This window comes from Homo sapiens, chromosome 20 (genome assembly GCF_000001405.40).
Source record: "Homo sapiens chromosome 20, GRCh38.p14 Primary Assembly".
Classification (NCBI taxonomy): Eukaryota; Metazoa; Chordata; class Mammalia; order Primates; family Hominidae; genus Homo; species Homo sapiens.
Window position 1 is genome coordinate 6872219 of NC_000020.11, and position 16942 is coordinate 6889160.

Below are 16942 nucleotides of genomic sequence, written 5' to 3' on the forward strand. Positions count from 1 at the left end.
CGCTTCTGCTTGTAAAGCATATGCCACGAAGCCCCTGTATACCAATTTAGAGATTTTAAAGATAGTTTTTGTGTGTGTGTTTGCTTTTGCTTTTGTTCTGGTTTGTATCAACATTTATTCTTCTTATCATCGCAAAGGAGAACGAAGGCTGGCTAACCTGATGGAATGGTTTAGTTAGGAAATGAACGGACATCACCTGGTTTGAGCTGACTCTTGTCTCTGGCATCTGTTCATCTTTCACACACCTCTTAAAATAGTAAAATGTTATTTTTCTAGGGTCATTCTCATTGGGAAAAGCTTTAAAAGATCCACTTGAAAGTTAATTGTACACAGGGTGATAAGGCTTTCCTGGTTCAGGGATTTGTTTCAAATTAAGCTATAAATCAGTAAGTGTGCTGCATTCCCTGGTTCTCTTTATGATCCTGAGGGGGACTGCACCATTCTTTAATTTGAACCTTAAATGAAAGGGAAGGAGAAGGGGAAGTGAAAGGAAAACTAAGCCTTAAGATTTTAAGGAAACCCATCTATCTATCTAGGCTCTATTCTCCAGTCTTTCCCTAAGACAGGTAAACTCTGATGAAGTCACCTCTCTGTTAGGCAATAGACTGGATAAATTCCCGCATTTCCATGTCATGTGACTTTTATTCTTTCCCATAATACAAGGAGGATAGATGATCTCCTAGCCCCTTTTTGCTGTATTAACTTTTAGATTTTGACCAAAACATGTTTTTCTTCTTGTAGGGATCATGGCTACATTGTTGCCTCCATTTTGGAGTTTCTCCTCTGTAAACCCAAATATAATTGTCTCTGTCCTTATTTCAATAACCTTTGGTAATCTCATCAATTTATCAGATGGTAACTCCAAGAATAATTGCAGTATATGCCAAAGGAATTCAAAATAAGAGCAGATTAATCCTTGTTTGCATTCCCTTCTACAGCATGAGCTAGCAACTTCTCATCCGGAAGGTACCAAACCATCAGTAGGTGTGGGAGAGCCAGTTATTACTAATGATGGCTCAGGAAAAGACCACTTACATGCATAAGGAAAGATAAAAATAGAGTGTAAAAAGAAAGTACTTTAAAAGGGTTCATAATGTCTCCCCTCCAACAAATGTCCTTTCTAAAATGTCTTAACCTTTCCCATCTGCCTCTGTTTTGTGGGTCCTCCTTTCTCAGAAGCCAGAGAGAAATTCCCAGTGGCTGCTGATGTGTTATCTTTAGGAATGGAAGGTTATCGTATAACATGCATTTTCACTGCTTGAATCTTAATTTCCTGCAAGCTGCCCCATCTATGAGTCAAAATAATCTAAGTGTGGAAGACGTTTATAGAACGTCCTCTGGCTTATTCCTCATCACTGAGTGGGTCATTGATGGTGTGACTCTAGCATTGAAACCAGGGCATTTTTGAGAGTGAGAGGAAAAGCCACTAATAATTATCTAGAATAGCAGAAACTGGAATGATCCTACACTAATTGGGATGAATTATTAAGGAATAACTGGGCAATAAATAAAAACTTATTCAGTGATTGAGTTTTAAAAAGAAATGAAGAAATCAAAGTAGGAGTTTCTTTTTACTATTATATTTAGAAACTGTGCTGTGTGCTTTGTATCTATTAACTCATTATAATACCTGTATTAAATGGGTGTCATTCCCATTTTATGGATTAGAAAACCAAGGCTCTAGGAAGTACAGTCATTTGCTCAAGGATACAATGTATTATATGTTGGGGAAAGCATTGAATTAGAATGCTTGAATTGAATTAGCATTGAACTAGAAATTCTGTAAATTTCTAATTTACAGAAATTAGAAATTATCAAAGGAACTAACCAAAAATGAATAAATAAATGATTGAGGGAATATGCAAATAAATGATTGAATAAAAAAAATAATGTTTAAAAACCCAGCAAATCTCGGCCGGGCACGGTGGCTCATGCCTGTAATCCCAACACTTTGGGAGGGCCAGGCAGGCGGATCACAAGGTCAGGAGATCGAGACCATCCTGGCTAACATGGTGAAACCATGTCTCTACTAAAAATACAAAAAAAAATTAGCCGGGTGTGGTGGCGGGCGCCTGTAGTCCCAGCTACTCTGGAGGCTGAGGCAGCAGAATGACGTGAACCCAGGAGGTGGAGCCTGGGCGACACAGCGAGACTCCGTCTAAAAAAAAAAGTCCAGCAAATCTTACTCATGAGATGAGGAGAATCCTGTACATATGACCATTTAGGCTTGCAGAAATCTGCCAATTTAAAAATACTCATAGCTAATTTACATTACCTGCTCTTATTTTACTTTTACTACATCATAAAGATGATAGCGAATTCCAGCAAGTAAGAAAGTTAAAGCTCAGGACTATTGTTATGGCAATTTCTCCAAATGGAGGAAAAAAAAAAATATATATATATATATATATACACACACATATATATATATACACACACACACACACACACACACACACACATACCTTCCTAGTTATACATGGAATAGTTTAAAAGAGCTTTTATACTTTTACCTGCTAATTTCACTCATGATAAAGTATTTTAAGGAAATAAAGCTGGGCTTTGGCACCCCTTGCATAGGCCAGTAGTTAGATGCAGGCTGCTCTGGGGAGGGGTTGATGTTTTGGGCTGGAGCCTTTCCTCAGCCAAGGGCAATCCCCAGAAAGAAACCCAGGCTAATGTATGACCTTTAGCAAGTTACTTTATCCTGTTTGGTTCTCTGCTTTCTCATATTAAAATGAGGGTTAATAATTACCATCTTATTTACTATGCATGGTTGTTATGAGAATCAATAAAATGTCACTGTATCTCAAAATACCTCAAAATATAAAACATGAAATACGAGAGATGTTGCTGTCAGTCCTATTGCTCTGAACAAATTAGAAACTCAAGTTGGGCTGTCTCTGAGACCTGATCTTTTAAAAGCAGGTCTTTCAGCAATATAGTCTGCCTTTGAAAAGGTTCATAAAAGTCAACTGTGTTTAGTGTATTTCTTCTCTTTATGTTCTCTTCTATTTCAGAGTTGTTTATTTATTTTTTATTTTTTAGAGAGACAGGGTCTCACTATGTCACCCAGGCTGGAGTGCAGTGGCGAGATCATGGCTCACTGCAGCCTTGACCTCCCAGACTCAAGCGATCCTCCCACCTCAGCCTCCTAAGTAGCTGGGATTATAGGCATGAGCCACAGCACCAGGACTATTTCAGGGTTTTTGAGTTCAGAAAGTTGGTTTCTGCAATCCCCAGATTGCTCTTCACTGTTTCCAGTGACTTTTGAATAGACACTTTGATTTTTCATCTTTAAGAACTCCCTGTTATCTTCAAAATGATACATTTTAATGACCACTAATTCTTGTTTTATGGATGCATTATTCTTAGAGATACAATTAGATTACAGATTCAAGGTGTTTGAGATTTTCTCCCTTTCTTGCACTATGTTTTATGAAGTGATAACTCTTCTACTTTCTCAGGTAGATCCTTTTCTTGTAAGTCTGATTTGCTTAGTTTGTTCTATGAATATATAACAATTTACTTCTCCATTCTACTCTTGGTGAACTTTTAAGATTTTTTTCCAGTTTGGGACTACTACAGTAATGCTGGGATGGCTATTTTTTTTTTTTTTAACATTTATTCTGGTTCATATAAGCTAGCTTGTCTTGGTTATATTTTAAAAAGTGGAATTACGAGGTCATGTGTATGCACATCTTCAACTTTCCTTGATAATGCTCAACTGTTTTCCAAACCAGTTGCACCATATCACGGTCATACCAGTAGTGCAGGTCTTCAATTGTTAGACGTTGTAGCAGATGTTGCCGATGCCCCCTATACCTGGCACTCACCATTTTCATGCATGACCAACTCAAAAGCTTCCAACTACAAACACCTGCAACTGTTTGCCTGAGGGCTTTTCAGCTCACAAGTGGAACAGAAATTAACCTTTTCCCCACCTGGCCCTGGAAGTTGCCCTAAAAAAATTCCTAACTGGCCAGGGTCGGTGGCTCATGCCTGTAATCCCAGCAGTTTGGGAGACAGAGGCGGGTGGATCATGTGGTCAAGAGTTCAAGACCAGCCTGGCCAAGATGGTGAAACCCCATCTCTACTAAAAATACAAAATTAGCCGGGTGTGGTGGTGCATTCCTGTAGTCCCAGCTACTCAGGAGGCTGAGGCAGAAGAATTGCTTGAACCCGGGAGGCAGAGGTTTCAGTGAGCCGAGATGGTGCCACTGCACTCCAGCCTGGGTGACAGAGTGAGATTCCATCTCAAAAAAAAAAAAAATTCCTAACCATAATGATGCATAATTCCAGCTCCCCTTTCCCTTCCCACAAGTGAGAAAGCTCTGAGGTGTATTCACCAACTCCTGGTATTTTTAGGAGATAAAGCTCTACTTGCTCACAGTGATAACTCACTCTGTAGTGATCTTTTATTTGGCTTTCATCTGTTTGTCTCACTCCCCCATTTTCATGTTAGTGTTTCCTGGTATCATTTTCCAAATAAACTATTTGCACTTGAATCCTTCACTGATACTTCTCAATGTGTACAGGTTGAGCCTCCCTCCTGTCATCCCACGCAGCCTTGTGGCCTTACTCTTATGATAACATTCCTCACCCTCCATTGTATTCCAGAGTGTGAGCTCCATGAGGGCAGACACTTGAAGTGACACGTGAGTTTTAATTGTGGCTTCCTTTCTTCGTGGTTCTCTTGATTTTTCCCTCACCTGTGTTCATACCTTGTTTTCAGGCTTATTTCCCTAATAGTGACAGATTTGCATATTAAACTCTGAACATTAAGCCATGAAGAAAGCATAGGTTGTTCTGTCAAATCCTTAAAAAATATTACAGACCCCGAGACTGTAACTGTAGCAGCGCTTCCCAAACTTCTGGCTACTGTCTACGCCAGGCAGGGGGAAGGGAACCATCACCAGGAAGACAAGTACCACATTCGTAGTTATAGAAATATCCACATTCTCTCAAGTCAGAAACACACAATGGACAAGACCATGCTCCCTCTTTCTGAAACAAATATCCAGCAGGTGGTTTGCACTTGAAAACTTTTATTAAAATGTTGCTGGGGTGAGAATATATCATTATTTGTCCTGGAAAACTCCTCATCTTTGATTTTGGCCATTCAGTTCCTTCTTTGGGAAGTCTCATCTCTTCATGGGACCTTTCCTGATTTCATCAAATCATATAATGAAATAAAACATATATTGCCCTCATTTTCAGTATTCCTTACTTTTACATTTAGGATCTTTACTATATCATTCTTTGTAATGTTATTAGATCAACAAGACATGATCTCTCGCAATGTTTTCAGCTCTAAAGCTTTACATGACTATTTTGTGTGTGAGTTATCCTTATGTTTTCTATTGAAGTCCATAGCACATTGAAAGTTAGTCTGATAGATACTTGCCCTCATTCCAGGCACCTCCTGTGTTATGCCTATAGCATATGCTAAATTAAATTCATTAAATCAAAGAAATAAAATATTTCACTGGAATAGAAAAATTTGCTCTAAAACAATCACTACCTAGATAGGACTTTGAGATCTACTGTCTCATCTCCATCCAAATTATATGCTCAGCCTTATCTCTTCCCGCTAATTATACCCCCTCTTGACCTGTAAATGATGGGAATGACTCACTGACCTTTGCTGAACTGGTTTTAAGTTTCTCTCCTGTTTGAAAATCTAATGCATTGAGTGTTTTCCTGCTATAAGTTCCTAGAGGGCTGTGCCAAGGTCTCTCCTTTGAGTTACAATGTACCTAGCATAATATTAAGCCCAATTTGGTTCATAAGAATTGGTTTGTGATTATATGGTTATTTTTTATGTATATGGTGTGATTATATAGTGTGACTCTGAACAAAGTCACATAAAGTGGAAGTACATAATATAAAGGAATGCACCCTCAAAAAACCCCCTGCATTAACGCAAACCTCGTGTAAAAGAACAGAAATACAGAGGGTGCTAACATAGGATAATGAAAATGTACCTCAATAGTTTGAAAGCATAAACAAATTCTTCCTCTTTTAAATATCTGATATATGTACACACGTATACTATCACTGGACAAAAACAAAAATTATATTCAGAGATGAATTTTTTTATGCTTAGAAAAAGTTAGCTGACTTTTAAACCTCATTCTTGAGAATCTTCCATTTCAAATTGGAAAGATTTATGTGTTTTTATTAAAGTTTTTAAATACTTCAGAATAATAAATAGCATTTTTTGAGATTGATTTAATCTTTCTCATTTTTACTCCCATAGCAACAAGACTGTTGAGTTGCACTAGTCATCACTTTTCTCCCCTTGCCCAGCAGACCTCTCCTAAATTACTCTGAGTGGATTTTAGAAAGATTGGCTATCATATAAAGTGTGTTGCCTGTCTCTTCTTCCATTTCCCCTAAAGGCAAAATGCAGTGAAAACAAAATGGAATTAAAACACATAAAGGAACTTAACTAGAACGAAGTAAAAACTTCTTGTATTTGTCAGAACACTGAGATAGGTGAGAAGCTCCAATGCTTTAAGCATTTCTTTTCTGTTGTTGTTGTTTTTTTTTTTTTTTTTTTGACAGAGTCTGGCTCTGTCGCCCAGGCTGGAGTGCAGTGGCACAATCTCAGCTCACTGCAAGCTCCACCTCCCGGATTCATGCCATTCTCCTGTCTCAGCCTCCTGAGTAGCTGGGACTACAGGCGCCCGCCACCGCGCCCAGCTAATTTTTTGTATTTTTAGTAGAGATGAGGCTTCACTGTGTTAGCTAGGATGGTCTCGATCACCTGACCTCGTGATCCGCCCACCTCGGCCTCCCAAAGTGCTGGGATTACAGGTGTGAGCCACTGCACCCGGCCTGCTTTAAGCAGTTCAAAAGAGATGTTAGCATTCTGAATTTAAAAGTGTTGAATTCTCTTAAAATCTGAAGTACTCACAATTTTTAACATGGTAATCCAAACCAGAGGAAACAGAATCTAGATAATTCTCAACTCTGCTACTACCTCTGAATTTTAAGTGGAATATTATCAGTGATGCATTTTTTACTGTAGTTTCTATCAATATAATTTTCACAATCGGCTGGGCGCAGTGGCTTACACCTGTAATACCAGCACTTTGGGAGGCTGAGGCGGGCGGATCACGGGGTCAGGGGATCAAAACCATCCTGGCTAACACGGTGAAACCCCGTCTCTACTAAAAATACAAAAAAAAATTAGCCGGGCATGGTGGCGGGCGCCTGTAGTCCCAGTTACTTGGGAGGCAGAGGCAAGAGAATGGTGTGAACCTGGGAGGCAGAGCTTGCAGTGAGCCAAGATCTCGCCACTGCACTCCAGCCTGGTCAACAGAGCGAGACTCCATCTCAAAAAAAAATAAATAAAAATAAATAAAATTTCACAATCAACTAAATTCTATAAAAATTCCATTGAGAGGCCGGGCGTGGTGGCTCACGCCTGTAATCCCAGCACTTTGGGAGGCCGAGGCGGGTGGATCATGAGGTCAGGAGATCGAGACCATCCTGGCTAACAAGGTGAAACCCCGTCTCTACTAAAAATACAAAAAATTAGCTGGGCGCGGTGGCGGGCACCTGTAGTCCCAGCTACTCGGGAGGCTGAGGCAGGAGAATGGCGTGAACCCGGGAAGCGGAGCTTGCAGTGAGCCGAGATTGCGCCACTGCAGTCTGCAGTCCGGCCTGGGCGACAGAGCGAGACTCCGTCTCAAAAAAAAAAAAAAAAAAAAAATTCCATTGAGAGCTAACTAGATTGATAACCTAGTAAAACACAGAGCATACATCCAAGTGAAACTGATAGGCTATACAGTTGCACAGACAGTAGTTAACACTCTGAACATGGAAAGTTGATGTTTAACATCAAGGAATGAAGTAAGTGATAATAAAAATGCTGTCTTGCAGATTTGCTCTTCTGTGACTCAACTAAAAAATATTGAACTAAACTTAATTCCTTATTCTCTCTGCAATGGTATTCATTAGACACAGCTCAGGGCATAGTTCACCTACAATGTTGCAGTTAATTTCACTTTATTCCCAAGCCATGAAATAAATTCCCAAACTCGGTCTGCTACCTTGCAAATGTTAATTTGGAACAATGCACCGTGCTGATCCATCACCGTTATTTTTTTAAAAAAACTTAAAGTCTGTGATATGGATAACTAGGATTCGTATAGATTTAACTGTTTAAGTAATATCTTTATGTTATTCTCAGATTATCAGTCAGCTGATTCACTGGGGTGGTAGCAAGGTCTTTGAATGTGAGAACACAGAACACCTTTGCATTAAGAATGCATCTTAGGCCAGGCGCGGTGGCTCACGCCTGTAATCCCAGCACTTTGGGAGGCCGAGGCGGGCGGATCACAAGGTCAGGAGATCGAGACCATCCTGGCTAACACGGTGAAACCCCGTCTCTCCTAAAAATACAAAAAGAAAAAAAAAATAGCCGGGCGTGGCGGTGGGTGTGTGTAGTCCCAGCTGCTGGGGAGACTGAGGCAGGAGAATGGCGTGAACCTGGGAGGCGGAGCTTGCAGTGAGCCGAGATCCCGCCACTGTACTCGAGCCTGGGCGACCGAGCGAGATTCCGTCTCACACAAAAAAAAGAAAAAAAAATGCATCTTATCAACTAGAGAGGTTGATTTCTCAATTTAATGAATTGTATTGGGAGATAATTAGCAAAGTCTTGAGAGAGGAAGGGAAGTCTATTACCAGTCAAGCAGTGTTAATAATGAACAGCATTTATCCAGTATTTTCTTGTTCTAAATACTGTGCTTTGTATGGATTAGTCCTCACAGGCCCGTGGCAGAGGAATATTAGATGCTTCATTTTGTTGTGGAGGAAACTAGGTCATAGATGGTCCAAAGCTAGAGAGGTGGTATGTGGCAGAAATAGAATTCGGACCCAGGCTGTCTGACCCCAAAGCCTTTTTCTTATGTACTGATGAACCATGGAGCGTTTTCCAGTAAGGGCTGCTTTATTTCCAAGTAGGGGAATATACATCAACCTACATAAGGGCAGAAAGTCAGGCTGGGTTTTATTGAAAACTGAAATAGGAAGCTGGAAAGCCACTAGGAGCCAAAATCTCTTTCTTTGTTATCTGCTATCTCTCTCCAGCTCTTTCTTCTTTCTTGCTTTCCTTCAGTTGGTTTTCTATGCTTTCAAATTTCTACATTGTCCAACATGAGTTAACAAAAGTCTGTGTATGTCTTTATTAAGATTTTCAAGAGATATAACCCTGGTTGATTCAGCTCATCACTCATATGCTGCTGGATAAAAAATGACTTGTCTGGTTAAGATGTTCAGTCTTGGTCCCCAAATGGGAGAGGGTAAGAGGCACATAGACTAGAGCTACAGCTGCCATGGACCAGGCTAAGGATGGAGATTCTGCAGACATAGTGCCATCTCCTTCTCCTCAGGCCACTGGCCTATGCAGGCCTCCATACTTCAGTCAGCTCCTGGATGCCTTCCTTCTCTGCAGCTTAAGGGCCACCTTCATAAACTGATTGAGGTCCAGAGCCAAGGAAGAAGCTACCTAACCCTTCAGGTCACTTCTCTGTGTATGATGAGGGCTTAGTAAAAATTAATGCTTCCAAGAACTACAGTCATTTTTATTTCATCTTAGCAAGAGAGATCTCATGCCTCTATTTGGTTCTTTAATGGGTGAGGGATTTGGGCCTAGAAAATGAGGGGAAATTGAGAAGAATACTCTTAAACCTCCCAGCAAGAGAAGAAATGTCTTGCTGGGATCATACCTATTCCAAAAGATGGAAGTATTGCAGCGAGTTCTCTTCCTCTCTTACTCCATCTCCTGTTCTTCACTGAGGGAAGTGGGACCATATTGACTTTCCTGCTGAGGCAATACCCCCTAGGATATAAGCAGAACCCTCAGGAGGAACTCAAACTTTTTCCCCTTTGTCTTTGGCCTTCTTTAGAGTAGCCTTTTTTATGTAACAAGATTTCCCTGCAATTTAGACCACCATTGCCTTAAGGAGTGAGGCTAAAAGCTGCTGTTTACTTTTCTAGGCATCAGGGTGAAATAATTCCTGTGTAGTTTAGATTTCCCCAAGCACTACATTATTGTGTTATACTACTGAAAATTAGCCTCTATATCTTTATTATGGTATACGACCTTGCTGGCAGAAAAAACACTGGTGACATTATAGATCCTTAATTATATAGATCCTTAATTAATCCTTATAGATTCTTTATTCATAGTTGAATGAAATGAAAATGGAACTATTTTGCCATCTCTGGTTAGATCTCTTAAATTGGCTTTGGAATTTGTTGGCTTGGCCTCTGAAGAACAAAGAGTTGGGAACGTTTGACCTTGCCTGCGATTAACTTTCTCAGTGCATGGAATTTAGAGCCAGACTGGGCTTCTTTCTGCAGTCCCTTTAGTCAGTTCACAGGCCAGTGGAAGCACTAGTTTTTCAAGGAAAAGCCAACTCTTGACATAGCAAGATCAGAGCTAGAATCCTAGGAAGCATGCTTGGCTGTACACGATCCCTCTAATTTCAAAGCAAAGCAATGTAAGGAGACAGCTTGGTAGTTGTTTTATTTTCTCTAGAGTGGACTTATGTTGTCAGTGGCAGAAATCCATGAACCATGAAGATAAAATAATGCTAACCAGAGTGCTAAGTAAAGAAAACAAAGATGGCTCCACAATTAGTAGCATTATATATGTTAGTGCTAAGTAACAACAGATGTGTCTGCAGGGAGAGAAGCATTCCTTGCAATCCATCAGAAACCAAAGTTCTCTGACACCACAAGCCATTATGATTATCTTAGGCTTGGGGGATGATGGCTGAGTCCACTGGGTTGGCAAAGTAGGGATGCTGTTGAGGGTGTTCCAACCTACCTATGTCATCCTTCCCATGTTGCACACTTGTGCTGAGTTAACAGGGCGATGTGCTCTGTAAAATCCGGTTCTGTAAAGACATGCACTAGCCATGAGTCATTAGCAAGCATGCGAAGCTAATTGGCAAAATACTCATAAAATATTTTGAAGGTGGGTTAATTACAATTCATTACACAGTAAACTGTCCCCAGGCTATTGTTAAAAAGTACAGGAGTTTCAGGGCCCATTATTTTATGATTCATTTTGCCATGTTGTGAAAAACAGACTCTAAATCAAACTACATTTATTATAGGTCAGACCACAAAATCTTTATTGGTTTTTCCAACATTCCACCCTTGTTATATGAATTCATATGGACTGCACATTTCTGTCAATTGGCAAGAAAGCATGAAATAAAATTTATGATATTTTCTTACCTTATCCTCAGTGTAGCCTTAAAAATCACAAGATCTAATTGCTTCCCCTACTTCCCCAAGTTCATGCAAGAAATAAGTATTTCAAAATCAACTCCAAAGTTCTAATGATTGAAAGCAACTAAAGCATAATGAAATCTGTCTTCTAAAGTAAGCATCTTAAAGAAAAACTCAAAGCAACATCCACTTGAAATGTGTTGAAGCTTTTTTCCCGCTCTACCCAGTAAAATATCTAGAATATACTTTACATTTGGAGGATAATTTGAAGTTCATTGGCTCCATAACACAAATCTTGTTCTCCTCATCTCTACCTTTGAAAGCATCTTTCTTTTTTTTTTTTTTTTGAACCAAAGCAAGCCCTCAGCATTTATTTCTTGAAAAAACAAAACAAAACAAAAACCCTCTGGTACAGTTGTGTGCCTCCTGTTATTACCATAGGCAGATTTGGTCAGAATCATGTAAGGCCTCATAAGTAGTCATTCTGTACCATTACATGTAATTGTTTGTTGATTAATGCTTTCAATTATGTTGATTTTCACTATGTGACCCAAACCACCTTGACATAGCCAGCCTGGTATACTCATTACCGGGGATGAGCAAGGAACAAAATGCTAGGTTCACTTCCAGCCTCCAAGAGTTCAGCAGCTCATTTGAACCTTATCTGAACTATCAAAAGTTTTGACTCTGCAGAAACCTGTGTTTGGGGAAGGGGCAGGAATGTGTGGCTCAAGAAAGGCTTTAGGATGAAGTGGGGGTTGTGGGGGGAGATGTTGGAAATTGTGCAAAAACTAGTTTCCTTGTGAGTGATCAGGTACTTCCTGATTCTGGCTGGGCCAGAAATACCACAAAAGCCTTTCTTGAAATTTCTGAGATCTTTGGAAGGTCTTCCTCCAAGCAGTTTGCCAGTTCTGCATGCCTGGGTTTTGGCTAGGGCTGGAGACCAAAGTATGTGCAAGAGGAAACCGTTTAATAGAAAGTTACCTGTATACTTAAGAATTGTCAAAAGAGTTTTACCTCTACTAGAATAAAGCCTGAATGGTTTGATCAGTGTCAATGATCTTAACCACTCCCATTCCTCATAGAAAGATGAAGCTGAAAGATGACATTGGAAATTGCTAATGCAACCCACTTATTTTATAGGGGCAGTCAGGATATCCATAGAAACTATTGACTGGGTCTATACACATGTGGACCAGAGTGAGAACTAAAGAGCCAGTAGAGGAACAAAAGAGGAAGAAAGGGGAGCCAAGCTGTTGAAAAGCTTGAGTTCTGTCTTTACTCTGCCATATTAGTGGTGTGATCTTAGGCAAGTCACTCCAATTCTCTGATCCTCTCTGGATCATTTCAACCACAAAATACTAAATTAAATGTTGTTGTAGGATGAAAGTACTAAGAAAGGGTGATTTGGAAGCCAGACCAAGCTGGATGAAAAGAGTGTCAAATTGGGAAGAGAAAGAATGGCAGCTAGGAAATGCTGGTGAGTTGGAGAGAAAACATTGAGTGGAAACAAAAGAAACTTGATGGGAAATGACTATTTTGCATTGAGTAACAACAGACAATCATAACATAACTTGAGGAGAAAGTAAAGTTGTTTGATGCAATTTTAAAAGATGTCAAAATAGCCTTAAGTTTTATGAAATAAACGAATATTCCAAAGAGGCAAGCATGAAAGGAAGAAGTGTTCAAATATGGGAGACACTAGGTCGGGCGCGGTGGCTCACGCCTGTAATCCCAACACTTTGGGAGGCCGAGGCGGGCAGATCATGAGGTCAGGAGATGGAGACCATCCTGGCCAATATGGTGAAACCCCATCTCTACCAAAAATACAAAAAATTAGCTGGGCGTAGTGGCGGGTGCCTGTAGTCCCAGCTACTCGGGAGGCTGAGGCAGGAGAATGGCGTGAACCCAGGAGGCGGAGTTTGCAGTGAGCAGAGATTGCGCCACTGCACTCCAGCCTGGGCGACAGAGCGAGACTCCGTCTCAAAAAAAAAAAAAAAAAAAAAAAAAAAAGGGAGACACTAGGACAAATTAGTTTCCTAAATCATGCTTCACGGGACTAAGGGCCAGAGCACAGAATACCCCACTACTTCTTCCTCAACCAGAGCAGTTGCCAGTTTATCTCTTCCAAGCAAGCTTTTGTTTAAAGAACGTTTTCTGAAGCTAAGGAAAAAAATTTCTAATTGCTAACCTTGCAAGAAATCAAAAAAACGAGTGGTACTTTAATGAGTTCATTTATTGTGACACCTTTAACAGATACAACTGCAGGCCCTTGAGTGAATGAAGATCTGAAGTGGCTGTTCTGTGTAAAATACACGTGGATTTTGCAATGTGGCCATTCTAATTGGCAGGTAACTTCAACATCAGAAATCTCCAAGCTGGGCTCTCTGAGGAGAGCGGGACTAGCTCTCTTATAGGCACCAACATTGCAGTTTGGATTATGGTTTTTTGACGAAGGGTATTCAGTGTGTCAGAGGGAAGGAAGTCCAGGGCCAGGGTCAGCCATCTTTCCTTCTGCCCGCAGTAATGTTGACCTCTCGAGGAATTGATGACAGTGGAAGAGTTCGGGAAAGGAAAGGGTGGTCAGTAGCTCCAGAGTATAAACATTGGGAACAGGTTTGAGAAGAATGCTCAGGAAAATAGAAACAACTAACCAGCAACTAAACAACTAAATTGCCTGACAGGGAATCATGGAAGCTAATCAATGCAAAATTGGTGGTCAGGTAGGGGCGGGCAATGTTGACATTGAAGTCTTGTGGACAGGCTTCCTGTGTTGATTTAGTAACCACACAATGGGTAAGGGAGAGGGGATCTCTGATCATAGCACCACTAATACTAGGATGCTTCTCTTTGACAGGCATAGGGTATTTTTTTTCTTTTAAGCATTAAGTAAGTGAGAAGATCACCTTCCTTTCTTTCTCTTTTGCCCTAAGGGCCTGCCCATTTCCAGCTGCGTAATTACCTCCTTCATAAGCCTTTACTCTGAGGCATGAAGGCTCTAGCCAGTACCCTGACTAACTCCCTGCTGGGGATGCCTCCGCTGAACAGAGCAGAGAGACCTGCTGATTTCAGAGCCAAGCGCAGAAAGCAGCTGGCTCTTAACTTGTTGTTTAAGAGAGCCAAGCAGAACAGAGCTGACGATTGCCTGGCCAGTGGGAGCCTGAGCCAGGCACCTGTCAAATCCTGCTTTGCTGGGTTCTCCTGCACCCTGCTCTGCAGTGCGCTTTTCCGAGACTGGCGGTCCACACCCCACAGGCTTTCTCCCTCTACAGCCAACCAGCTGCCAGCACCCCTGTAAATTCTTTCTCCAGCTAATATTTTGATCCCTAAGCAAGTTTCTCTCTCTTTTACTGGCAGGAAAAAAAAATGTCAAAAAGGGAAAATGATGATGTCTCTATTTTCTTCTGATAGCAGGCTACCAAACACTCCCAGCATATCCATTCTTTCGCTTTGGGAAAGAGGGAAGGCAAAGTGGTCTTGACGGTGTGTGTGCAAGGAGAGACATTCGAATGTGTATTTTTACCTGTCATTTGGGTCTTGAGAAGGTTGAAGTCTGCATATGGAAAAACTGGCCCTTTCTCTTCTCAGTTCTGAGTTTTAGAGTTAGTAAACTATGTAAATTATTTTATTTCTCTGTGCTCTGCATCCAGGCTGATGTCCTGGAGAGAGGGCTTTGAAAAACTGCCCCTGAAGCTATTGGCATTAACTGAAATTGATGTTTCACAGGACTGGGATAAAGAGGGTTATCAGTAGCTCAGGCCTGGCCTGCCTTGGGGACCACTGCCCACTGGATTACCTATTGGCTTAGGGCATAGGCACTGGCTTAGGAATTAAAAGTACTAAGTTCCAGACAAGCTCTGTTTGTGAAATCACTTAGGCCTCCAGCAAGCTTTAGCTTTTCCAAGGTTTTAGTGCTCTCATTTGTAGAATGAGACGGTCAGTTAGACATCACCTCCAAAACGTTACGAGTTTCATGAATCTGGCTGCACTTACTTTGTGGAGCCATCAGCCCTAACCTGAAGCCTGGGAAACAAGTAAACGTGTTTCAAGTTTCTTAAAAGTTGCTTTCTCAAGTTACTTCCTTTCTTCACACAAGAAATGAAAGGGAAACACTGCTGCAAAGAGCCCTGGAAACAGGTCCTGATTTTAGAAGAGAGCCTTGAGATGACAGGGGCATGGATGTCCTGCACATTCCTTCAGCATAACCGCAGAAAGCCTGCATATATTTTTCGTTGTTTGTAATTGCAAACTTTTCTAAAAATCTACCCTTTAGAAATGATTGCCTTTCTCTGAGGATCAGATCACAGTCCAGCCAATTCTCAGAGAAAATTAAACAAAGAATACTGAGCCTGGAATCTGTGATTAGGATGCCTGGCGAAGTAAAAATGACCGTGTACTTTCCCAAGTGGGTCAGCTATGGCCCCAGATATCCAAACAGGATGGCACATGAATCATGCCGGTTTGATGGGCTCTCTCAGGCTGGATTTACAGCTGGATTTAGGACTAAATGTTGGAGGTAAATCTAAAGGAGCAGAAGGGCTGGGGAGGGAATGGGAAATCAAGGGAGTTTCCATCAAAGCTTTTCAGAAGCAGAAATCCATTCTACCTTTGTCGATGACTGTGGTTTGCTAGGATCAAGATCAAAGGAATCACCGTGGGCAGAGCCATGACAAGTATGAGGCTCAGTCTGGTGCAACCTAGCATTAGCCCCTCTCTTAGGCTGCCGTCTAGACTGGAAGTGGGTGCTCATACCAGACCAGGCTGAGTGTGTAGTCAGGGTACTGTTTCATGACGGGGCAAAGGACTTATAAAGCCTATCTTGATCTCCCCAGGGAAGCCCACAGCCAGGGGCAGTGAGGCACAAAGTAGCTATATCCCTGATTATGTCCTTGGGAAAACAGGGGACATGGAATGACCATGAAGCCAGGTGGTTGACAGGGACAAGGAACTGATTTTGGCAAAATCCAACTGGCTTGTTTTGTGTATCTTTCCCTCTCCTCCCTGATTGCTTTAGAAGGCTGCTCTAAAAGTTTACTAAAAAGTTGTTCGTTTGCAGGCCTAAGACACTTGATATTTGAACTAGAAGGTCTTCTTATCCACACTTTACAGACCGAAAAACTGAGGCACAGAGGGGTTAAATTAGGTCACCCAGCCATGGGTGGAGGATCCGGGAATGAATTAGGACAGATTCATTCCACAGCCCATCTCATAACGACTGACTACTCTAAAGGATATTGGTAAATTTGAATCTTATTTACTGGAAAAGCCCCTCTTGTAGAGCTGGTGCATCACAGATACCAAATAGACCTGGTTCTTATTTGTATTCCTTCATTTATAAGACTCACAGTATATCTATTAAGTTACAAAGCTAAAGATTAAAGAATTTGGTGCTGAGAACATGAATGTAAACTCATCATTTGTTGCTAAATGTATTGGGGTCAGTCAACTTGGGTTAGTGACCACAAAGAGGAACTTTTAGGAGGCCCATGGCTAGCTTTAGAAATGCATGGTTTTTGCCTAAAGCAAAGTCATCTTGAACATGTTTTGATATTATCTAATATTCCTTATTGTTTTCATAAACACTTACGGCTCAAAGGAAACCCAAGCTCACCATGCCCAGAAAATCTTCAATCTTCCTCTCCCCGTTGAGGCTCTCCTCCCAGGACTGGAGATAGTAGGACAGGAA